At 46.5% G+C, this 26,093-nt stretch overlaps 1 long non-coding RNA gene across 1 annotated transcript in view, besides 1 other annotated feature; it reads left to right on the top strand.

Annotated features, from left to right (window-relative positions):
* The window catches only part of LOC158435 (uncharacterized), a 36,074-nt gene extending 11,490 nt beyond the window's left edge, over positions 1 to 24,584 (top strand). The window contains exons 2-9 of the long non-coding RNA NR_033838.1: positions 15,698 to 15,767; positions 16,972 to 17,044; positions 17,670 to 17,984; positions 20,024 to 20,227; positions 21,754 to 22,723; positions 22,942 to 23,208; positions 23,789 to 23,983; positions 24,287 to 24,584. This is a non-coding gene — a long non-coding RNA (uncharacterized LOC158435). The remainder of the gene's footprint in view (positions 1 to 15,697; positions 15,768 to 16,971; positions 17,045 to 17,669; positions 17,985 to 20,023; positions 20,228 to 21,753; positions 22,724 to 22,941; positions 23,209 to 23,788; positions 23,984 to 24,286) is intronic.
* Positions 10,580 to 11,779: an enhancer, noted in NCBI's record as "BRD4-independent group 4 enhancer chr9:98850190-98851389 (GRCh37/hg19 assembly coordinates)". NCBI's record gives its function as "activates an origin of replication core promoter dependent on BRD2, P300/CBP, MED14 and CDK7 cofactors, and independent of BRD4, by STARR-seq in HCT116 cells {active_cell/tissue: HCT116}" and the evidence as "EXISTENCE:reporter gene assay evidence [ECO:0000049][PMID:35650434]".
* Positions 24,585 to 26,093: the final 1,509 nt, after the last annotated feature.

Raw genomic sequence — 26,093 nt, forward strand, 5'->3', positions numbered from 1 at the left:
GGTCTGGAGTGGCTGGGGCCATGGTGGCAGGTTTGTGGATGGCGAGGACGAAGACAACACACCCAGGGGACCAGTAGGCCTTCCCAGCTCCCACACCCACCCTGCCCTCCTCTTGGCTTGTCTACACTGTAGGTAAAGCAACCCCCTGCTTTTTTTTTTTTTTTTCCCCATAAGTTCAAACTGGCTTCTATCACTTCCAACTTAACAATATTAATTAATTGTAAAGGCCAACAAATGCTGAACATTTTACACATAGTCTCATTTAATCCTCACCAAAAAATCCTCTTAGGTTGATATTATTAAGTCCATTTTACAGATAAAGAAACGAAAATGCCAGGAGATTATACACACATCTTTATTATTTTTTGTTATTATTGATAACATTCTTTCCTTTTTTCACTGCAGAGCTTTTAAAAAAAAATTTCAAGTTAAATTCCTTCATTCAAAATGTCTCAACATCTTTTTTTGCCCTTAGTAATTTTTTTAAATTGCCCCTATTTCTTCATGAGCCCCTTCTAAGTTTGCCTCGTTTTCTCATTCATTCAACATAACATATATGGAGCAACTATTTTCAGCCAGGCATCGTGCTAGACTCACTGTGCAACAGTGAACAAAACAGACACGCTCGCCATCTGCTCAAAGTTTCAAGTCCAGTCGGAAAGAAGATGACCCAGTGGTTACTTACAATCCAGGTTTCTATGAACTGTGGAGAAGATAGGGCACGGTGCCATGGAAGCCCGCGATGGAGGCAGTTTCTCCACTCTAGAAGGAAAGACCCATACACCATCTGAAAGGCGCCCTTCTTTTTGTCCTTTATGATTTGTCTCTTACTATTATTTTTTATTATCTATTTCACACAATGTATGGTTTTTTTCCTTGCAGTTCTTCTACTCACTGCTTTTAGACCTGAGTGGTTTAGTTTGGTTGAGTGTAACAAGCATTTATGGAACATCTACTGTGTTGGAAACCTAGGTAGAAACTGATAAGACTCTTGAGGTGACAGAAGCTAAACAGAGCCTCTAGTGGAGTCTGGAACCTTCTGCTGCCCATCACCTGGGCTGCTGGGGAAGCCCAGGCCAGGGGTCCTCCCCGACATGGCACCCCATGGCTGTCTCTGGTGCTTCCTCTTCTCCTTTTCCGCTTCCCTGGATCCATCTTCTGTTGCATTTCCCATCGGATTTCCATTCTCTGTTAACTCTCTTCATCGTCACACCTACAGAGCTCCCTCTCTTTGCATTCCCTAATCCCACCATTATTTCCGTTGAAATGAATACGAAAATAAACAAAGTGGTTGGATTTATCCTACTTTTTTTTAGCAAGCATCAAAAATGCATTTAGGCCAACAAGAACCAAAGTTCACGAAATAGGAAATTTGATTGTGTCAAACTGAAAAAAACCCCTCCACCAACATCCCACCGTCCAACTTCCTATTGGCTTCGTGCCTTCGGTTGCATTCTGCGTGTTCCCCACGTTCATTTCATTCACGCTGTTGCTTTTGTTTTTGAGGTTCCATTGTCTCTAAATCTCTCCTGATAATAGGATGGGGGTGGCATGAATGAATGAATGAAGTACTGAATAGGATATTTGGGCTATGTAAGAAGGGATTAAGAGGGTAGAAAATCAACTTTGCCCTATTTCTTCTGCCACTGATTTATTTCGCTCTGTCCTTGGCCTCTGTGAGTTCTGCTCCTCCCGAGTTTCCATTGTCTGCTTAGGTTTTCTCCCATTCCTGCAGGCTCCTGCTGGCTCTGTGTGATTGCTTCTGAGACAAGAGTTGCTAACTCTCCCAATCTGCACTGTAACCAACCAGGGAGAAAGCACAGCTCGTTTTAAGCAGTTCATTTAGTCTACAGAACCTTGGCTTCCCCATTACACTCTTCCAGGTATTTAAAACATGTAAGAGCTGAGATAAGACTTTTAAAATATTAACATAATCCAGGCCTCAACACAACATAATCCAATGGAAATAATATTTATAGCAACAGCGCCCCCAGGTTCAGAAGCCATGGCTGAAATGTTATTATTGTGCAATGGAAATTTGCAGCCTTCCCACTATGGAATCAGAACATGAGCTTGAACTAAATTATACTTTGTTTTTCTCAAACCTCAAGGACAGCCTAATCACCCTGCAATGCATAAGCAATTCACTTTAATTTTTTATTTTATGAAAATACAACTGCGAGATTTAAACTGAAAGTATGACAGCCAAAAAAAATTTTTTTTTAATTTAGCCTTTCATTCAGCAGAAGACCCATATCTTTACTTCAGTTCCCTGGGCACTGCCAACTGTGCAGTGTGAAGGTGGTATCAGATAGAATGGAAATCTTCGAAGCCAGGTCATTTTCTTTGTATCCTATTGGAAATTATTCTAGTAGTCAGAAGTTTAAGCAGAGAATGTAGAAGGAAAGCAGGAAGAGGGAGGAAGAGGAAGAAGAAGAAGGAGAGGAGGAAGGAGGGAGTAGGAAAATGAAGGGAGAAAAGAGAAAAGGAGGCAGAGAGGAGTGGTTGAAGAAGAGAAATGAAAGAATTCCTCAAACAATAGGACTGGAGGGGAGGCAGGATGCAGTTTGTTTAGAAACTATTCTGAAATATTTTTCCTTCGGGTAAAATGGAGCAGCTGCTATATGGAGCAAGGGAAATCCCTACAGCTTACGTGATGTGAATTGCTGAGGGAATCAGAGAACCTGAGTTGGGAAGGATATGTGAGGTCACTGAGCCTAGCTACCCACTTCATCCTTGAGTCTTCCCGCTTCAGGTCTCATCACAGATCTGGAATTTTAATCACGGTGTTCACTTCTCTTTCTAGGCGGATTTTTGGAAGCGGATTTTTAACCTCTTCCAGGATTTAGTCTTTCCTGGGCATTTGTGATAACTTCGTTCTCTGATGTCTAGGATATTCGGTATTACCTATTTTCCCTAACTCCTACTTGTCCTGTACTTTTTCAAATATCAGCTCCCGAAATTGTCACCCTCTTCCTTAAGGTGGCTTGCTCTGAGCTCTGTATCTGCATTTTCCGACATCCCAGAAAGTACGGTAGTTCCTGTTCTAATCATGGCAATGACATACTCAGTAAAGGTGAGCACCCTGGTACTCACCCTGTGTCCGGAAGACAGTGCCAAGGTGAATCATTCTAAGCAATCACTAGAAGTCGCAGGGATTGCCCCAACCACGATGCTGGAGAAATGCCCAGAAGACTTACCTCAACTCACCCGGCTAAAGAATCAACTTGCCTCCTCCACCTCTCCTCCCAGATTCCATCGAAAGCCAAGACTTTTCTTGGCTGGCATCTCCAAGATATTAGTCAGTGTCATTTAATCTTAAGGAGAATGTCCAGGGCGCCTCACTGATCGTAAGGAAATCAGGAGCAGAAGTGGATCTGCTGGCCCTTCTGTGCCTAGTCAGGCCACGGGACAGGTCTCCCTGGAATGGTAGCATGACCAAAAGGCCAGTCAGGCTCTGGGCTCAGACCACGTGGGTTCGAATCCAAGTGCTGCCACTGCCTAGCAAGGTGATCCGGAAAGCTACCGAAACACCCTGGACTTTCATTACTCCATATGTAAAGGGCTTGAAAGAGTGTCTGGCAGGCACATGGCAGGTGATTAATAAATGCTGGCTGTTTTTATCATTACCACCTTCATCATCTGTGGGTTAGATTATGACCTGAGTTAAAAGAATAATTAAGCCATGCATTTAGTTCTGCCAAATATTAATTATTAACATAACAAACTCACATTCGTGGAGCATGCCTGTGTGCCTATGTGCCCAGCACTGTGATAAGGGCACAGCGGGCATCAGTGTCATTTAATGTTTTCAGCAATGCTATGAGGTGGGACCACATCGTGGAAATGGAGCTGGTGAGAGTCATGAACTACTCAAGGTCACCTAGCTAATAAGAAGAGAGGCCATTGATTCACCCCAGTTCTCAGACCCCACCCATGTTTAACCCACTGTCAGATACTGCGTACCTGTGCAACAGCTTGTGTAGAAAGCCAAGCTCAATACTTCAGGTGTGAAATGAAATCAGCAGGGATCAAATCATGTGTGGAGCTTTTGTATGCCTGTACTTGTTTGTGCTTATTTGCTTCCTTAAATTGGATTTATCAGTTAGAAAAAAAAAATTTAGTCACTTCTCTCTCAAACACTGGTCCAGACCTATAAGACCAAGATGGCCAGAGGGCCCTGTACAAAGCATCCCGTGCCAGTGAAATTACCCCCAAAGGGAAAGTGGACCGCCTACTTTGAGTCCCTGCCCCCTTATCCTTCCTCTCTGGCTCCCAACTTGGCTTCCTATGCAAGAGTTATTTGTTCCGGCTGTTAGATCTGTTCTCAAACAACAAATTCCACCTCAATCCTTCACTTTTCACCTGAGTCATTCAGAACATCATTGGCGATGTTCAGTCACAGGGAGACTGAGAGTTTGTATGAGGGGGAAAATGTTTTTTTAAAAAGTGAAATTAACACGGGGAAAAGCCATCGCATGAAGATGAGTGTACAATCGTCCCTCGGAATCTGTGGGAGATCGGCACCAGGACCTCCAAGGATGTGCAGGTTGCTGATGTAAACTGGGGTCGTGTTTGCATATAACCCACACACATCCTGCCAATGCTTTAAATCATCTCCAGATGAATTACAATACCGAAGACAATGTAAACGCTATGTAAATAGTTGTTGTACTGTATTCTTTTTAATTTCTATTATTTTTATTGTTGTATTGTTATTTTTTTATTGTTTTCTTTTATATATTTCCTACCCATGGTTGGTTGAATGAGTGGAGGCAGAGCCTGCAGATACAGAGGCCGACTGCTATAACAGGTACCAAAAACTTAGAGGCTTAACGCAACACAAAGTTATTTCTTATAGTTCTGAATGTTAGGAGTCCAAAATGGGCTGTGGTGGGCTAGCATCAAGGTGCCTGCAGGACTGCATGCATCCTGGGGGCTCCAGGGGAGAACCCACATCCTTGTTTCCCAGCTCTAGAGATTGCTGTATTCCTTGGCTCGCAGCCCCTTCCAGCCACATTCACATCACTGCAACCTCTGCTCCCATTGCTGCCCATTGCAGTCGACTGGACTGCGGAGAGGTGTGCATCCACCTTTCCTGGGAAACATCTGAATGGCTTTTTTCCAGCCAGCACCTAAACGGCTCTAAGAACCTGGATTGTCCCCTGGAATATTCTGGATGTGGTATCTTGGGTATGTCTGCTTTCTGTGTAAGTTTAGCATCCCTAGGGTCTGACACTGGCTTCAAGCCCTCATAAATAAATAGACTCGCTCTCTGCCCTATAAAAGCTCTGGGCTGCGCCTGGGATTCTATGCCTGTCTCCTCTAGGCTTCTGCAGGCTGTTCGGTGCTGACTACACAGCCCTGCCCTGTGGCCGGCTCTGTTGCTGGAGGCCGAGCCTGTTGGAGGCAAACTGCGGACCACACAGGGACTGCCCATTATCTATCTGGTTGCGCCCACTGGTGCCCAGTCCCATGCACCCACCGTGGCGCTGCTCCACCTCAAGAACTGATCTCTGCAGTGAATGCCCCCAGTTAGGCACCTCAAAACTGGTTGGGGTTTCTCCCCATGTCTGGCAAGCTCTTTGCCTTTCATCCTTTCCCCTTACCTCCTACCTTCTCATCTTCCTTGCAGTTTCTGTCCATACACTCTGAAAAAGCAAAACATCCAAACATTGGACCCACCAAGTAGTTTTCCTTGTTTGTTTGTTTTTTGAGACAGAGTCTTGCTGTGTCACCCAGGCTGGTGTGCAGTGACGCGGTCTCGGCTCACTGCAATCTCCGCCTCCCGAGTTCAAGTGATTCCTCTGCCTCAGCCTCCCTAGTACTTGGGACTACAGGCATGAGCCACCACGCCCAGCTAATTTTTGTACTTTAGTAGAGACAGGGTTTCACCATGTTAGCCAGGATGGTCTTGATCTCCTGACCTCGTGATCCGCCCGCCTTGGCCTCCCAAAGTGCTGGGATTACAGGCGTGAGCCACCACGCCCAGCTGACTCACCAAGTCGTTTCAAGAAATGGCTTTTACTTCAGCATCAAAGGCATTTAGGACCAGACTGTTTTAGACATCACTCCAGTGGAAAGGGACAGCTGTCATTTTTCAGATAGGGCCATGACACTAAGGGTCCATGAACCATCGGCAAAGGGAAGCTGGCCACCATTTTCCTTTCTAGAAGGTGTTTGGTTACATTGAGCTTCACCACTCGCACACCCTAGGAAACTTCTTCAGAAACAGAATATAAGGCCAAGCCCCCCAGCTAGGGAGGAAGAGGGAGAGACCTTTGTGGCTTGCCCCCTTGGGAGAAGAAAGCACAGATCCAGGGCCATCGGGCCCCTGCCCTCCCAGCCTCCCTTCGTGCCTGCCTTGGCCGTTCCAAGGATGCTGACAGCCATAAAAAATCAGGCCTGTTAGCAACAGGAAAGATCACAGGCCTTGATTCCTGTTGAGCTCCTCCAACAACAGCTGCCATCTGGCTCCCCATCACGGGCGAATGCAGGCTCTGATTTATGGAGAGGCGCAGGTCAGGGAGTGGGCCACGTGCATTGCCCTTTCCCCCACAAACACCCCAGTGGGCGGGGGCCCAGGAGAGGGCCATTGCAGGTCATCAATAAATCCTGGGGATAAAACAATGCAGAGGTTATTAAAGGGAGCCGAGAGGGGACGGATGCGAGTTATTCCAATTACAGGCACGGTTATCTTCCCCTGTGCAGTTCAAAGTGTATGCACCCTAATGCATTTCAGCAGCTAATAAAAGTACTGTAGGGTTTCTTTTTTCTCTCTCTCTTTCTTTTTCTTCTTTTTTTGAAACCCATAGTGCTTATAAATTACAGGGTAGAGGGGTGTGAAAGATACATAGCAGCTTTGAAGCAGCACTGACAACCTCAAACTAATTGATCATAAAAGGAAGTCAACTGCAATAGATGATGAACCATTTATCTAGCCAAAAATAGCCAACGGTTTCCCTATGGGCATGGGAATGTAAAAAAAAAAAAAATACTAAACTAAAATTAGGGGTGGGCCACGGGAAACAAATGGAATATTTTGAGCCCTTCAGTTGCAGGCACTAAAAGTGGAGGCATTGCAGATGTGACTGTGGCTTTGCGGTGGAAGACCAGGACAGGAGCACCACTCCTATAAACACAGAGGAAGTCCAGACCACTGTGGTCAGCCTGCAGGCAAGAATGCTCTCAAAGCTGATCAAAAGCTTTATCTTCTACATCTTTTTCCAGATGAAAATTTCACCAGAACCCTCAATTGCTGGCCATTAAGTTCCTTTAGCTTTTATTGTGCTAAAATGAAATTGGCTGGAAATGGTAATTTAAATTGCATTGATATAGGCTAATGGGGTGGGGTAGAGAGAACCCAGACAAAGACGCAGGGAAATGATTGTGTTATGCGATATATGTTAAAAGATGTGGTCACGGCCGGGCGCAGTGGTTCACCCCTGTAATCCCAGCACTTTGGGAGGCTGAGGCAGGCGGATCATGAGGTCAGGAGTTCAAGACCAGCCTGGCCAACAGAGTGAAACCCCCATCTGTACTAAAAATACAAAAAAAAAAATTAGCTGGGTGTGGTGGCGGGTGCCTGTAGTCCCAGCTACTTGGGAGACTGAAGCAGTAGAATTGCTTGAACCCAGGAGGTGGAGGTTGCAGTGAGCCGAGATTGTGCCACTGCACTCCAGCCTGGGTGACACGGCAAGACTGTGTCTCAAAAAAAAAAAAAAAGGAAAAGATGTGGCCACGTGTTCTCACGGTTTTCCATTCTAGCAGTGAGTACTCATGGGTCGTAGAGCGTTGCCAAGGTGTTCTGGTCAAACTTGAACAAATAAATAGGAAATACCCTTCTGCACTTCACTGGCTTGCCCTCTCCCAAGATATTGGTCAAGCTATCAAAAATAGTTGGCTCTTCTAAATACTTTTAAATACTCTTGAGCTATCTTGTACATCTGCTTAAAGGCAATCACTTTTTCTTTTCTTTATGTTACAAAATACAACAAAAAGCAATGTTTCAGTCTGCTTTGAGTTCCAATTGCAAATTACACATATCAAAGTTTCCTAGAGGTGGGTTTAGATGAGGCCAATTGGAAACAAACTCAGAGGGGCACCTGCCTCCACTTTCCTGCCCTTTCCATTCCTCCCACCTCTTTCCATGGCTGCCGCTCCTCCTGTGCCACCGGAGTTAACCTTAATTCCACATGGGAAGGTGGATAGCATGGCTCCTGTATGTCCCATTCTATTGCCACCAGCTCATCACTGACAGCGGCTCAGGCCACAGTCCTCACCTCACATTCAAGGCCTCCGGCCGTGGGCCTTGTGCTGGGAGTGACCACACTCTCACCGGCATGCAGCCGCACCTGCCCCTCCACGTCCAGCTGCGTCCACCTGGGGTCAGGGGAGTCTTCAGCTTCCCGCACCTGACCTGGAGCCCTCCCGTGAGCCTCCCTCCAGATGCGGGCAGCTCACTTGTGGTCACTGGTGCGTCCCTTTGTATGCTCTGCTGTCACACAGAGCTGCAGTCCTGTGCTCCCTGCTCTGTGTCCTCCCTCGAGGCATGCTTTCAGGGCTGCAGACAGCCTTACTGCACACATCTTTGTCTCCCCTAGAAGTGCTCAGTGTGCACCACTGGCCCATGGCTTTCATCTGAGCAGGAGGGAGACAGAGTGAACCAGTGAAGGGGACCTGGGCAGCAGAGCCAGGAAGCGACTCGCCAAGGCCACCTAGCCAACACGTGGTAACATGGGGCTCACAGGAGGCTTTTCTGACTCTGCGTCAAGGCTTTTCATCATGAGGAGCTGTCACTTAGCATCTGTTCCCATACATTCAGCCTAGAGTGCACAGCAAGCAATTGTCCAAGAGGCAGGCTTCTGACACTTTGGAACCGGAGGCTTTGCCTGCATGTGTCACCTGTGGGATCTATAAGGGTGCCCATTTCAGATGGTTATTGGAAGAAATTAAGTGAGATAATATGTGCAAAGTTAGGCAGATCACAAGGTCAGGAGATCGAGACCATCCTGGCTAACACGGTGAAACCCCGTCTCTACTAAAAATACAAAAAATTAGCCGGGCTTGGTGGCGGGCGTCTGTAGTCCCAGCTACTCGGGAGGCTGAGGCAGAAGAATCGCTTGAACCCGGGAGGTGGAGGTTGCAGTGAGCTGAGATCGCACCACTGCACTCCAGCCTGGGCGACAGAGCAAGACTCTGTTTCAAAAAAAAAAGATACTATCTGACACAGAGTAAGAACTCAAAAATGTTACCCATTATTAGTTATTAATTACTTCTACTAATGCTCATATGCAAAATAAATGCATCTTCCCATCCAGCAATGAATATCCTCCTTTTTACTGCTACACACACCTCAGAAATAAGCATTCTATCCCCAGAGTTACAATTCTCACTCCCTCATATTTCCATGTTTCTAATGTTCATCCCACGTGTATTTTACCCCACATGGAATGTGTTATGGAGTCCTAATTTCCAATACCCTAACCAGCAGTCCTCATGAACCATCAAAATTATTAGGAAAATACCATTTTCATTACCGAAACTGTATCTCCCGGACTGCCTCTTTCACCTGGAAGTGGAGGTGAGAAAAAAACATGTTTCTAAAATTTAACTCTTTTTTGCATTTGAAAATATGACCCCCTGAGGATACTGGGATGGAAAGCCCTGTCTGTCACCTACCCAGCAGTCACAGAGGAGCTGGGTGTCTCCCTGACCTACGGCCCATCCCCCTCAGCTTTGAGGTCTAAAGTCCTGCAAGGAGAGCCCAAGACATCTCCAAGAAAGCGCTGTGTGCCCCGAGGCTGGGAAAGCCCTGGTTCCTTAAGGCGCTCAATAAGTATTTGCTGAATGAATGAACGAGCAAACTCAACACCTACCCCTGGCGCAGGCACACACAGATACTATGAGGAAGGGGGCATGGCAGGCAAGGGGAGACCCCTGGCTCCTACTGACCCCCCGGAGTGCCCTGAGCAGAGCCTTGGAGGGGTGTGGTTCCCAGGACGGCTTTTGCCCCCTCGGGCCACCCATCAAAAGGCAGCAGTCGCCTGGGGCCTCACACTCAGGGAATCGCTGGGTGTGTACAGCGTGGCCGAGGTGCGGACTTCAACACGCTGTCTCCATCACCCACCACAGCCAAGGTCTGTTTCTGGAGCTCTGCAACGTGAGTATCTCTTCATTATACTACAAGAAGGATTTTTTTTTTCTACCATTGCTGAACTGAATGCTGTTTGGTTCCCATGGTGAGAAAAGGCCTTGGCCTCGGGAGTTGGGCTGGGCAGGGGTGGAACAGCCTCCTGCCCAAGTGGATGGATCAGCCCTCAGGTGGGCTGATTCTGGGGGCTCCTCCAGCAGGGGCTTCCCTTGCCTGCCCTGTTCCTTCCATCCTGTTCCAGATAGCAGCGCATCTCTCAAGTGACTGTGGCTGTCCTCCCCTCCTTTTGTCTTCTCTTCTCTGGAATCTGATAAGAGCTGCATGAGATAATTGGAAGCCAGCCCTCCCCAGATGCGCATCACATAAGAAAGAGCATTCTGACTGGCACGGCTGGGCTGCCGACACTCCCGCTGCTCCTGGCGGGCCAGTGACTTTGATTTATTGCTCTGTGAGTAAATACTAGTAAATAAATGACAGAAATGCCTTTTCCCCTGGTGACTCCCCAGCCCCCGATAATTAACTTGTTCTTCTTTCCTCCCTCTCTTACCAACCATGAAGCAGTGCCGTTCTCTGATGAATGAGTTGCCCATGACTATCTTGCCAACAGGTGTTTCACATAAAAGATGAGCCATCCCAGGAATAGTGTGAAGCAGGTGTTGAAAACTAGAAGCTCACGGGTCAATTTGTCCCATGCAAAATGATTTTAAAGGTTGGGCTTACATTGGGAAAAGCAGATTTCACATGGAAATTTATACTTCAGCCTTCTTTTGGAAACTGGAAGGTCGTCTGGAGATGGTAGGCTTCCATTCCCTCCTGGCAACAAATGCCTGGGCAGGCCCTCCCTTTCCTCTGGCTCTCTGATACCAAAGGCTGAGTATCAGTTGCTGTTTATGATTGTATTTGCTCTGTTGTTTTCTTATACCAGAGACATATTGCTCTTTATCCATATGTTGTGCATTGAAAACGGCTGCAAATTCCTAAGGGCCTTAGGATGAAATAATAAAATATGAGATAGAACACAAGAATTTGAAACCTCACTTTCTTTGCCTACCAACTAAGTGACTGTGGCCAGGGACCACAGATAACTCTTGGAGCCCAGTCATGTGCTCTGAATTGATGATGATAGTGATGATGATGACAATGATGAGATGATGATAAGATGATGACAATGATGATGATATGATGATGACAATGAGATTTGATGATGAGATGATGACAATGATAATGATGACGATGATGATATATGATGACAATGAGATTTGATGAGATGACAATGATAACGATGATGATGATATGATGACAATGAGATTTCATGATAATGATGATGACGATGATGATGATATGAGGATGATGCATCTGTTCAACATTTACTCCATGGCTGCTATGTAGTATTTCATTCATTCCTCACGAGAACCCCTGGGGGGAGGTCTGCTTTATCATTATCCCCATTTAACACATGAGGAGTGGAGGCACTTACAGAGAAAGGCCCTTGCCCAAGTCACACAGCTTAAGTAGGAAACCAGGATTTGAACCTTGATAGTCTAGACCAAATGTGGACAAACTTTTTCAATAAAAAGTCAGATGGTAGATATTTTAGGCTTTGTGGGCCATATAGTCTCTGTGACAGCTACTCAGCTCTGCTGTTGTAGTTCAAAAGCAGCCAGAGACAGTATGTGAACAAATTTGTGTGCTGTGTTCCGATAAAACTTTATTTACAATATTCCCAGATCAGCTAGATTTCGCCTGGGGGCCGTAGTTTTCCTATATGTGGTCTAAAGGAGTGCTGTCCAGTAGAAACAATGCAAGCCACAAATGTGAGCCACATGTATAATTTAACATTTTCTAGCCAAATTTTAAAAGTAAAATTAAGTGAAATTAATACTGTATTTATAAACACAATATACCCAAAATATTTCAAAATGTAATCAATATTTTACATTCTTTTTTCTTTTCTTTTTTTTTTTTTTTACATATTTGAAAGCCAGTGTGTATTTTACACTTAGTGCCCATCACTGCTTGGACCAGCCACATTTCAAGTGCTTGATGGCCACATGAGGCTGGTGGCTACACAGAGGACCTGGAAGTTCTAGAACCCAGCTCTTTCAACCCTCTTCCATGGGGATCACCAGGACTGTAAAGCACAAGACCCACTAGGGAAGTGCTCTTGTTGTTACTGGATTCAGCTGAGCCTCTTGGATGGGTTCCAGCCCATCCAAGAATGTTTGAAACACTCCAAGACTTTAATTTTAATTTAGCAACCTGGTACTCAGAATACATTTTTCCTCAGAAACAACTCTGTAAATTGCCATAGGTGCTCTGAGCCCTCCCACCAAGCTCTCATTAATGGGCACTATACCTGTTGAGCAAAGTGTAGCTTGAATCACCCCTAGTGGCCGTTCAAAGGTTACTTTCTGTTAGCTTTAACTAAGGATTCTGGGGAAAGACTGTGCCCCAGAGCAGCAGGACACAGCCGGCGCCCCCTGAGCTTTGGTGGGGTGGCTGCCCATGGAGCTCTGTCGCTCTTGCTGGTGCCAGCTACAGATGCCCTTGCCGAAGTTCTGGGAAGGCACATTCCTAAGTCAGAGACACCCAGCCCATGTTCCTCTTCATCAGGCTCTTGGATAAAGCTTCTAGTGTGTCTTTATCATCGTTTCCTGAAGGCACACCTCAGGCCTTGGGAAAGTAAGCAATGGAACATTCAGCAGTGATTCCCAGGCTGTGAAATTTCACAGGCCAATCAAAATTTTAAAATAAAAGAACTGGAGCACCTATATAAGATGGCCAACTTGTAATTTTTCCAAGTGAGCACATTAAGGAAAAAAAAAAAAAAAGAAACCTAGCATCTATGGGCCCTATCATTCTCACACCAAATCATGTTAGAATGATATTTTAACACCAGTAAAAGAAAGACAGTCTCAGAATCAATGACAATTTTTTCAGTTGAGTAAATTTGGCTTGGTGGGAAAAATGCACATCACTGCCTTTATTTTTATTTTATTTTATTTTTAACTTTTATTTTAAGTTCAGGGGTACAGGTTTGTTACATAGGTAAACTTGTGTCTTGGGGGTTTGTTGAACAGATTATTTCATCACTCAGGTATTAAGCCTAGTACCTATTAGTTATTTTTCCTGATCCTCTCCCTCCTCTCACCCTCCACCCTCCGAAAAGGCCCAATGTGTGTTGTTCTCCTCTATGTGTCCATGTGTTCTCATCATTTAGCTCCCACTTATAAGTGAGGATATGCAGTATTTCGTTTTCAGTTCCTGTGTTAGTTTCCTAAGGATAATGACCTCCAGCTCCATCTGTGTTCCTGCAAAGGACATGATCTCATTCTTTTTTATGGCTGCATAGTATTCCAGGGTGTAGAGGAACAACATTTTCTTTATCTAATCTATCATTGATGGGCATTAGGTTGATTCCATGTCTTTTCTATTGTGACTAGTGCTGCAATGAACATGATACATGCATGTGTCTTTATAATAGAATGATTTATATTCCTTTAGTAATGGGATTGCTGAGTTAAATGGTATTTCTGTCTCTGGGCCTTTGTGGAATCACCACACTGTCTTCCACAATGGCTGGACTAATTTACACCCCACCAACAGAGTGTAAGTGTTCCTCTTTCTCCACAACCTTGCCATCTTCTGTTATTTTTTTTTTTTAATCAAGCCATTCTGACTGGTGTTAGATGGTATCTCATTGTGGTTTTGATTTGCATTTCTCTAATGATCAGTGATGCTGAGCTTTTTAATGTTTTGCCAAGGACCATGAAAACTTCACCTCCAGAGCAGAGGCTCTGGGGCTAGCATTTGGAAACCCCTATCTCCTAGAAGCATTCACTGTAGTTGTATAGAGTAATTGAAGGTTCTGGACAGAAAAGAGAGGGAAGAGCATTGGAACACCTAGAAATGGAGCCATCAGGAGGAAGGTGGCCTCCCTCTAAGGGTTTCAGGTGAGAGGAATCAATACAGCATCAAATATATCTTTTATTGGCACAAATATCTTATGCTTGTTTCTTGTGGTAGACACTGTATTTGCACACCCTTTTTACTTTTACTTTTGATCCTTCTAGAACCACCACAAGATAAACAGGAGAGATACTTTGTGCATTTTACAGATTAATGGTAACAAGTACAGAATTCCAAGGATCACTGCTATGGTTTAAATGTTCGTGTCTCAAAAATTCCCATGTTGGAACTTAATACCCAATGTGGTAGTATTAAGAGGTGGGACTTTTGGGAAAGTGATTAAGTCATGAGGGCCCCACTCTGAGGAATGGATTAACGCTCTTACAAAAAAGTTGGTGAGCCCTAGTTCCTCTTTGCCCTTCCCTCTCTCCCACCATGTGAGGACACAGCATTCATGCCCCTTCACCCTCCATGGTGTGAGGATGCACTAGAGGTGCCATCTTGGAAGCAGAGAGCAGCCCTTACCAGACACTGGATCTCTAGTGCCTTGACCTTGGACTTCCCAGCCTCCAGAATCCAAAAATCAGTTCCTAATATTTATAAATTACCCAGTCTAAGGTATTTAGTTATAGCAGCATGAACAGGATAAGATAATCACAAATATATATGTACACATTTGGATATTTTGGAGACTTTTTACTATACCCAAGCAATGTGTTTGGAGAAATTAGTGCTCTTGGATTATATAAATTCCCGTCACTCATTTGTAACCCATCTGTAGAGCAGTAATAATAATACTCAGTGACAATGAGGACCTCATGAGTTTCCGTAAAAGGTTTTCTCCTCATCAGTGGGCAGTAGCCCCCAGCCACCTCCTCTCTGCTGCCAACAGGGATCTGAGTGCCTTTGCCCAGGCTCAGTGCTACTCAATGCCTTAACTTTCTGTTTCCTTTCTAAAAGGTTGCTGCTTCTCTCCTGTTTATGATGACCCTGTCTCACCCATCGCTGCCATAGCATTTTATTACTGGCCCCACAGCTGAAGGGTGGCCGGGCAGATGTAGGCCTCGGGTTTGCAAAGTTGCTTCCATGATGTTTCCTGCATAAACCATCTTGGAAGGACAACTGCCAATGGTAGCATATTATCATGCCAGCGTTTTCCTGACTCTGAGCTGAAGAGTTCAAAAAACAAGAAAGAAAAGAAGAGAGAGAAAGGAAAAGGATGCCAAAAAGCAGTATCTTGCAATGGACATTTCCAGCTCCATAAATGAGGAGTTCATGTAGATATTCTGGGAACTATTGAAGTGGTCTGGGATTATCCCATCTCCCCACCTCCACCCTGACTCCCCAAGACATTTTTTTAAAACCAGGCTTCTGTTACTAATTGTTCCTTCTTAACTCACCATCCAGTGCTTTGAAGTAACTATATTAAGGCAACAGACATACTGTAAGCAAATGGCAGAGTACTGAAATACGGAACCCAAAATTATTTTCAGCTTAATACTAATCTATTTCACCCTTCACAATCTCTGGAATTTTGCTTTGACTGGGAATCAATGTTTGATGAAAAAGTCTTCCCTTCTTATGTTTGCATCTAGCAAAGGTTAGGCCTTAAATGCCCCTCCTTTTTTTCCACAGGACTTCATGTGCAAGCGCTTTGCCTTAATGAGTACTGCAGCAAATGCACAGTGAGGGACTCTTACCCAAGGTGGGAACAGCAAGCAGTGGATTGAAAGGGCTGGGACCCTGGACCCAGGCTTGTTCTTGGATCACAGGTTACCTTTGGGGCTTGAGGCCTGGGAGGGAGGATGAGACACGGGCTGTTGGTAAACTTGTCCATATCTTCAGCAATCTTTCTTGTAGAAGGTGCCTGCAAGAACCTTGCTCACCATGAGAAAACATATGTGCTGCCTCCGTGTAGTTCTTGCCTGAGTTTTAACTTCATTAACATTTTCCCCTGTTCTCTCCCACTACCCTTCCCACAAAGGCAAAGACTTAAGGTATTGATGTGTGGCTGTAGGGAGAATGCCACTGCTTTGTGTGCCACAGACGGCACTTCCCCATCTTCAATGTGCCCACCTGGGCATCCTGTCCGCAGATTCAGATTCAGGAGGTGGAGGCAGAATCTGCATTTCTGCCTGTGCCACTGGCGCCCACCCTCACTTACAGTGACAGGCTCTAGACTGCGTTTGGCTTCTGCCTTTTCACTCTGAACTGCTACAAGATCACCTTCCTTGCTGGCAGTACACCTCGTCTGTTGCCTTTAAGTGCCGTAAACCGCTCTGCTTCAGGCACCTCTCACATGCAGTCCCCCTCTCCTCTAGAGTGTGCTGCAATGAAGCACACAGTTGAGGGGGACATGACCCCCATGACCCGTGAGCAGGTAGAAGCAGAATTGCTGCATGCGGGCTTCGTGTGTTCGTAAGTGCTGCCTAGCCGGGCATGGTGCTCATGCCTGTAATCCCAACACTTTGGGCGGGCAGATCACTTGAGCTCAGGAGTTTGAGGCCAGCCTGGCCAACATAGTGACACCACGTCTCTACTAAAAATACAAAAATGGTGGCATGTGTCTGTAATCCCAGCTACTTGGGAGGTTGAGGCAGGAAGATCACTTGAACCCAGGAGGTGGAGGTTGCAGAGTGAAAATAATAATAATAATAATAATAAAAGTGCTGCCAGATTGCTTTTAAACAAGCCCTGCCTCCTGTTAAAATAGTGTTGCTAAGACTGTTCACTATTATCCCAAATAAAACTTCCATAATAGTAACAGTAATATTCAAGATAGGCAAACATGGTGGAGGGGAGGTTCCCACGGATGGCAGCCTAAGGGAAATGTCAAGGCGAGGACAGACATGGCTAATGAGGAGACTGCCTTGTGGCATATCACTTAACCACATTCTCTTGTCTCCAAGAAACCTAGAATGAAATCTGTGCTGCCTGCTACAACCTGTGGCTTTGGATTTTCTCGAGGCCCCAGAGCGTCAGGTAATATCTTGGAGCCCCACTTTTCATGTTTCAGCTCACTGGTTCCCACCTCACCTTTGAGAGGGCTATTAGCCACCCGCTTTCACAGACGAGAAAGCAAAGGCCCCGCTCCTCCCCCACTCTTATCTCTAGGCTGTACCGGCTCCCTGGGGTGGTGATAAAGTAGTGAGTTCCATTTCTGGGTGAGACTTCCCAGGGAGTCTCACCTTGTAGGAGGAAATACTTTCATAACACACAGGAGAGGAAACTGAGGCACAGAGGAATTAAAAGTCACTCACCTCAGTCACACTCATGAGATGGAGAGGCAGTGTTGCTTGGCTCTGCAGCCCAGGTCTGGAGGCGGGGGGAGCACACTCATCACCCCTCTCATGTACCCCCTGCAGAAGTCACTTGATTGTTTTACCGAATTGCAGAACATCCATTTAACTCAGGATTCAAAATGAGAGCTCACAAGCTTTGAAAGGGCAGAAAGTGAGACCATTTTCTGCCCCTTCCAACCTCTGCCTTCTGCTTGTGAGTCAGGCACTGCTGGTTTCATCCCACAACCTGGAACACGGGGAAGCCAACGTGCATGACGTCCATGCGCCATGGGCTCCATCCAAACTCTCCCCATTTCTTTCCACAGAGGAAGTTTTCCGAATGGCACTCTGCGTGGGAAGGAGCTTGTGCACGTGCACGCTGCCACCATCTGCCCTCAGCGCTGATTCAGGAGGCGCTTCTCAACTATAGCCCACAGTGTGACAACTGAACGTGTCCCCTCACGTTTCCAAATACGGGGGGTGCAGGAGGCACTGCTCACTGTTGCACCCCCTGACCCACGCTGCCAGTCCTGCCCTCACTGCTGGGTGCTCACTGGGACCCTGGAAAGGTCTAGCTGAGCCTTTTAGGGCATGAGGATGTTGGGAGAATAGAGGTGGCTCCTCTGAGAAGCCTGAGAAGTGTGAGTGTATAAATGCAGGCTGAGGTCGTGTCTCCCTGGGATTGAATTCACCCAACCTCACCCTCCGTGTAGCGCAAATGCCCAGCTCCTCCAGGGAAGTGTTCATGGCCAGAGTCCCATGTTCCCTGCCATCAGCAAGGCCCTGGCGCCATTACTTACAGGATATGGCACCTCCCCCAACACCAGTGACCATCATCTCTCTCCTCCTCCTCCTTCTTTCCCCTCCTTCCTTCCCCTCCTCCTCCTCCTCCTCTTCTTCTTCACTAGATACACTTGTTATATCTCCCAATGGGACAAAAATAGTCTCATCATTATCATGTGCCTCCTTCTCCTCCCTGTCTTCCTCAGAGGTTGATACGTGATTGACACGGTTTGGCTCTCCCTGAAATGGTTTGGCTGTATCCCCACCCAAATCTTACCTTGAATTATAATAATCCCCATGTATCAAGGGTGGTACCAGGTGAAGGCAACTGAATCATGGGGGGCAATTACCCCCATGCTGCTGTTCTCGTGATAATGAGTGAGTTCTCATGAGATCTGATGATTTTATAAGCGACATTTCCCCCTTTGCTCAGCACTTCTCCTTCCTGCCACCATGTGAAGAAGGACATGTTTGCTTCCCCTTCCATCATGATTGTAAGTTTCCTGAGGCCTCCCCAGCCCTGTAGACCTGTGAGTCAATTGAACCTCTTTCCTTTATAAATTGCTCAGTCTTGGGCAGTTCTTTGTAGCAGCTTGAGAATGGACTAATACAGTGATAAAATATAAATTGGAATTTTCAGTGTGCTCACACCATAAGGAAGAGAACAGTGTCATTTCTGGGTCAGAAAATGTGACCACCATAGAATTTTCTCATATCTAGAACTGTCCGGTATTTATAGCTCAGGATGCTGGTACAACTTTCTGAGATAGAGAATTATATCCTCACATAGAAGCTGCTGTGTGGCCCTCCTTACCCTTGGTCACTCATGGTTGGGTGAACGGACCCAAAGACAGAGACCAAAAAATCAAATTCTTGGATTTTCAGTTCTGAATAGACACTTGAAACTCAAAGGCCATGGCCTTGTAAGCCCAGACTCTAATTTGTAAAAGTTGAGGGTTTTCAGAGAAGAAAAGAACCAGGGCTCCCTGCCAGGTGTCGCACCCTGGGCCTCACGGAGGCCTCCTCTTTCATCACATGGCACAGTGACATTTCTGCTGAAAACAGAAAAGGCTTCCTTCCTAGGACCTACCGTCTCTACTCTTCCACCTTTCTTTTCTCCATTTCTTTCACCTGAAGGCTTCACCACCAAAGGTTGGAACATTTTCCTGCTATTTCATTACACTTGAGATTCCAGGCAAAGAAATTCCGAGTTCAAACAGCAAGGTAATGCCATGAATAATAAAACGTGTCAAGCTTTTCTGGCATAGGAACAAGAACGTGATATAGACACACACTACCTAATAGAAGAGAAGGCCCAATTTCAACCACATAAAGGGTTCAAGAAGTTCTGTGTTGGTTCCTCCTTCACATAAAATAAACACTGGAGATTCCAGGGACAGAAGAGCAGGGAGCTGCAGATGCGCTGAGGATTTCATTGCCATCTAGTGTAAAACCCCGCTATGAACATTACCATCACTGATTTTTACGTTATTAAGAGATGGGCCCTTTTATTGCACTGGTGTCATGAAAACAACAAAATCCCACATGAAGTTAGGCACAACTCAGGACTGCCCTTTTGCAGAACATGGCTTTTTAGTTATAGGATTCTCCAAGGTGGTCTCACAAGTTTCTAATGAATTGGGTTGGGAAGCTACTGCTTTAGAAGGCAGAAGCAGTTTCAAGAGTGTGCTCTGGGTATAAAAGTCATGGGTGCAGAAGGATATCAGCCCCTTCCTAGGTAATTCCATCTCTGCTCACTAGTCCTGAGTCTGAGAAATTGTCATCATAAATTAGGCAGACAGGACTGCCAGAAGCCAATCCAGAACATGAATTTATAACCCAGGGCTATTGTATAGCTTCCTGTGACCTCTTACACGGAGCCTCCCTCTGTCTTCAGGATCAGGCCAACCTTAGAATCTCTGACTACTAGAGGCTTGACTTGCAGTGAAACCCGTCCTAATTGATGAAGATCCTGTATCGAGTTAGAGAAATGGAAGAAACGACGCGGGGGTCTGGTTTGCCAGCCAACAGCTGTGGCTTAAATCTGAGTCCTTTGGAAAGAAAGGAAGGCATTCCTTTTATTTCTAATATGGCTAAGGTGGTGAGTGAATAACTGGATTGAATAATTGATGCTATATAAAAGCTGGACTGCAATCGTTTTAGCCCTACCTGGGCTGGGCTGATCTGTCTTTCATGCGATGGTGCTTACAACTTAATAGCCCAGACCTGGGGAATGTTCTGTCTGACAATTATGTAATTACTATTGGGACTGTGGGCTAATACCACACCCTGTGGATGGTTCCATAAGGAATAGATATGGTCACTGCCCTGGGAAGCGGGAGGTTCTAGTATGAGAAACGGGGGGTCTGGAAGTGGAGCTTAGAGATGGGATTATGTGCTTCCTCCTCCCCGGAGCCTCAGGGTCATTTCTGCCCAGAGTTTGCAGTGCAGCAATGCTCAGAGCACTTCCCACAGCAGGAAGAGAGCGCTCCTGGTGAGGACTCCTAGAAGGGGCTGGACTATGCATTTCCTGTGAATTCTCCTCTGTGCCGTATTTCCATCCTGCGCTTCTCAAACTTCAGCCTATTCTTTTTTTTTTTTTTTTGAGGCGGAGTGTCGCTCTGTTGCCCGGGCTGGAGTGCAGTGGCGCTATCTCAGAGGCTCACTGCAAGCTCCGCCTCCTGGGTTCACACCATTCTCCTGCCTCAGCCTCCCGAGTAGCTGGGACTAAAGGTGCCCGCCACCACGCCCGGCTAATTTTTTGTATTTTTAGTAGAGACGGGGTTTCACAGTGTCAGCCAGGATGGTCTCAATCTCCTGACCTTGTGATCCGCCCGCCTCGGCCTCCAAAAGTGCTGGGATTACAGGCGTGAGCCACCGCGCCTGGCCAAACTTCAGCCTATTCTTATAAAAAGATACAGTCCGAGGTGGGGCACGGTGGCTCACACCTGTAATTCCAGCACTTTGGGAGGCCAAGGCAGGAGGACCGCTTGAGGCTAGGAGTTCAATACTAGCCTGGCTGACATAGGAAGACCCCATCTCTAAAAAAATAAATAAATAAGCAAATTAGCCAGACATTGTGGTGCACGCCTGTGGTCCCTGATACTTCAGAGGCTGAGGTGGGAGAATCACTTGAGCCCAGGAGGCCAAGGCTGCAGTGAGCAGGGTCACGCCACTGCACTCCAGCATAGGTGATAGCAAGATTCTGCCTCAAAAACAAATGAAACAAAGGGTACAGTCTGGTGTCTGCTATGATAGAGAATTGACAAAGGGGCTGGTCAGTGACACAGAGGAGAGCAAAGTGCCTCACTGGGAACATGCCGTTGCTGGGGATAGTGATGCCCACTGGTCAGTGTTTCAAGGGCCACCAGCAGCAGCAGTGCACAGGCACCCATTGCTAAGGAGACCTGTACTCTGCCCTGCCCAGGAAGTTCTTCATCTCTGTGTGCATGCAGCTTAGTTCCTGCTCCTTCAGCCAAGCTAACGCGGAAGCCCTAGAGCATCTGGACCAAGCAAGGAAGCCGGCAGGAGCCTCTGCACTGCCTATGAATTTGACCAACGGGACTTGGGGTAGTTTTACATTTAGTATCACATCTCCTAACATTCATTCTTCCCTTCTTTCTTTAGCAACAGAACCCCTGAAATTTACCTGGCTGTGTAGCTGCCCAAAATAAAGACTTTCCTTTCCCACCACCCCTGCAGCTCCATGTGGTGTGTGGGCAAATCCTGGCTGATGGGATGTGGGTAGAAGAGACGTGTGCTCAGGAAGATGGCCCACGCAGGGAAGGAGCAGGTCTTGCGCTCCTCTCCATCCCACTTGCCAGAAAATTGCTGCAGTGGACACTGTGGCACTATAGGTTCTGTGGACGCCACGGGCATGGTGGTGAGCACCTTCAGCTGCATGGAAGAGGTGTCATTTCAGGGCGGTTCTGCACACAATCTGCCCTGCACACAGGAGCTACTGTATGAACCTCGCTCCCAGTGTGTGAGGAGAGAAGGACAGAAATTGGGTCAGCTTTGATAAACTTTCATAGTACCTTGATATTGCCTTGACCTTCAAGCACATGATCTGTGGACCCACCTCAATATATTGACCAGGCCTGGGCATGAGTCAGGCACTTTTTAAGCCCAATAAAGCTACATAGGGGTCTGAGATCGATTGGAAATTTAAATGATACTAGAAATAATGACAGTCGTACTCCAGATTGTGTGAGAAACACATCTGTAAGGGACGGCAGAGTCACGGAGAAAAGGAGGCAGGGCCTGGGTACCATGGAACCAGCCGAACAGCCCCACCACGAATCCTCCTACCTTTAGAGAAGAGAGAAACTCTTCCCTGGTTTAAGCTGTCATATTTGGGGGCCCATTTGTTTCTCAGCCTAAGCTGTACCCCGTCGGGTGTGCCTATATGTGAATAGCGTGTGGGCTCAGCTGATGGACCAGACATTCCATGTACTGGCGCATAACATTCTGACTCGCGTGCAGTAAGAACAAAAGGAAATACAGCCCAATTTGGTAAAATTCTCTCACAGCCTGGAAAAGAGCATCCCGAACAGTGGAGAGGAAGAGGGAGTGAGGCCCTGTGGACACAGCAGAGGTAATGAGAGAGGAGTGCTTGGTGGATGGGGATTGGATGGAGGCTTTCCATGGGCACCGATGAGCCATCCCCATGGCATTCCCAGAAACGGGTGGGGATGGACTTTGCAAAGAGAAGGGTTTCTTATGTAAATAGGTTGAAAGATATGGTCTTGGGGGCTAGAAGAGGGGCTACCATGTGACTATAAAGACTTTTAATATTTGGACTCTACCTTCCAGGAATCCACAATGGATTTGCAGCAGGCTGGTGGAGGCAGAGCAGAGAAGGGCGGGAGAGGGCCAGCGAAGGCCTGGGAAGGTGGACCCACAAACTCGTCTCCTAATGAAGCTAACCAGCAATGCGAGGGCACACAGGGAGACCCCCTAGAGGCTGCCCCAGGCCAGGAGTCACCTGTGAACTGAGGTGGCCAAGGCAGGTTCTGTGGCAGAGGGTGAATGCCTGCAGATGAGAACCAGCCGCGGTGCCCAGAAAGGAACAGTGTGCGGGTGAGGCGGGCTCTCCACTTTGCTGTATCCTCCCCAGGCCCCCACCCCCAGCACGTGGGCAGTGAGGTGGGGAATCCTGCCCACAGCACAGAAAATGCTCTAAACAGAATCAGCTTGCAAGCAAATCAGTGACATGTCCAGATGCAGGGCTGGGGGTCCCGAGACAGGCTAACACCCAACAGCAACCTGATTCATACTCAAAATAGTGACAAACAGGCTCCTGTCTGCAAGGCTCCTCAGTGAGGCTGGGGGAGGGGTGCGTGGCTTCAGCAGGGGGAACAGGAAGTGCCTTCCAGTCCAAGTGTGTTTGAGGTTTGTGCATTATTTGGCACAATGATGGCTGGGAATTTGTTTGTTACATTTAAGTAGAGCTTTTTATGTTTGAATCGAAAGCACACAAAAAAGCCCATTGTAGAAAATCAGGCTCTATTATGACATAAATGTGCATTATATAAAGCAAAACGAAAAGGGGAAAAAAAGAAAGGGTTTTAAAGAACAAATAAACCACAGAGCTTATAGATTATGGGAGAGTCTGAGGGTAACGGGAAAGGGTCCAACATGCTCTTCTGTTCTCTGCCAGGCCTGACGGGAGCCCCCATCAATACAACCAGCTCCTGCTCAGAACTCTCTTCAGGCAGACAAATAGAAGATATGTTTCTACTTCCCCAGGCCTCAGCACCATGACTATTCTAGTCCCAGTGGATACCCTGCTTCAGGTTTTATGCAGCTGAGTTGAAAAAGAATAACAGAATAGGAGGAAAACAAGGGGAAGAAGGTAGGTGGGACGCCCCAAATCATCTTGAGTGCACTCCATAAAAGAAAGAGGCATTAAAGCAGCCCCCTCTCCTATCTCAAGCCATCCTTCAACTTATAGGGACTTTGCACATAGTTGCTGCAGGTTGGCCTGCCTCTGTCAGAGGTGTTTAAACCAGATTGACTCTCTCTTGTATAGGGGCTGGGTAAAATGAGGCTGAGACCTACTGGGCTGCATTCTCAGGAGATTAGGCATTCTAAGTCACAGGATGAGATAGGAGGTCGGCACAAGATACAGATCACAAAGACCTTGCTGATAAAACAGGTTGCAGTAAAGAAGCCGGCCAAAACCCACCAAAACCAAGATGGTGACGAGAGTGACTCTGGTCGTCCTCACTGCTACACTCCCATCAGCGCCATGACAGTTTACAGATGCCATAGCAACGTCTGGAAGTTACCTGTACGGTCTATAAAGGGGAGGCATGAATAATCCACCCCTTGTTTAGCATATCATCAAGAAATAACCATAAAAATGGGCAACCAGGAGCCCTTGGGGCTCCTCTGCCTATGGAGTGGCCATTCTTTTATTCCTTTACTTTCTCAATAAACTTGCTTTCACTTTATTCTATGGACTCGCCCCGAATTCTTTCTTGTGAGAGATCCAAGAACCCTCTATTGGGGTGTGGATCAGGACCCCTTTCCAGTAACACCCCTATTGTGAGAAGATGCCTTAAATGGCTGGAGTTCTGGTGCTGAGCTGTGTTTTCACTCTGGGTAGTTTGTTGTTAGCTTTTTTAACAGCTTAATTGAGATATAGGTAAGATATAGTTCACTAGTTAAGATACAGTTCCGTTCTGGTGTTGCTGTAAAGGAATACCTGAGGCTGGGAAACTTACAAGAAAAGAGGATTGTTTGGCTCATGGTTCTGCAGGCTGTACCAGAAGCATGGCACCAGCATCTGCTTCTGGTGAGGCCTCAGGAAGCTTCCAATCATGACAGAAGGCCAGGGGGAAGCAGGCAGAAGTGTTAGCAAGACAGAAGGAGAAGAAGGAGGCCGGGCATGGTGACTCATGCCTGTAATCCTAGCACTTTGGGAGGCCGAGGCGGGCAGATTACCTGAGGTCGGGAGTTCAAGACCAGCCTGGCCAACATGGTGAAACCCCGTCTCTAATAAAAATACAAAAAATTAGCCGGGTGCAGTGGTGCACACCTGTAAACCCAGCTACTCTGGAGGTTGAGGCAGGAAAATCGCTTAAACCCAGGAGGCGGAGGTTGTGGTGAGCTGAGATCACGCCACTGCACTCCAGCCTGGGCTACAGCAGAGTGAGACTTTGTCTCAAAAAAAAAAAAAAAAGAGAGAGAGAGGGAGAGAAGGAGGGGACCCAGACTCATTCAACCAACCAGATCTCATGTGAACTAAGTGAGAACTCACTCACCAACAAGGGGATGCCACTAAGCCATTTGTAAGGGGTCCACCCCTTGATCCAGTCACCTCCCACCAGGCCCCACCTCCAACGCTGGAGATCACATTTCAACATGAGATTTGGAGGGGACATCCAAACTATGGATGCCCTCCAATGCCCACATATGGTACAATTCACTCATTTCAAGTGTACAATTCAGGGGGCTTAAGTATATTCACAGATATGTGTATCTGTGAACAGAAGCATGTATCATCACAGTCAATTTCAGAACATTTTAATCACCTCAAAAAGAACTCGAAACTCTTTAACCATGACCTCCAGCACTCCCAGTCCCCAATTCTAGGCAGCCATTAATCTACAAAATTGTAAAGCCAGTCAGATTTAAGAGCAGGGGATAGTAGACCAGCTTCAGTGGCACTAATGTTAATAAGTTCTGATAACCTACTACCATCGGACCAGCCTCTAATCTTTATTATTTTCTTTTTCTGCTTCTTGTAGGTTTAGCTCTTCTTTCTCTAATGTTGGAAGGTGGAAGTTTAGGTTATTGGTTTCAAATCTTTCTTCTTTTTTCTTTACATTAAATTATTTATTTATTTAGTAAAAACAAGGTCTCACTATGTTGCCCAGGCGGATCTTGAAATCCCAGTGTCAGGTGATCCTCCTACCTTGGCTTCCCAAAGTGATGAAATTATAGGCATGAAGCATAAG

Source organism: Homo sapiens, chromosome 9 (genome assembly GCF_000001405.40).
Source record: "Homo sapiens chromosome 9, GRCh38.p14 Primary Assembly".
NCBI classification, from domain to species: Eukaryota; Metazoa; Chordata; class Mammalia; order Primates; family Hominidae; genus Homo; species Homo sapiens.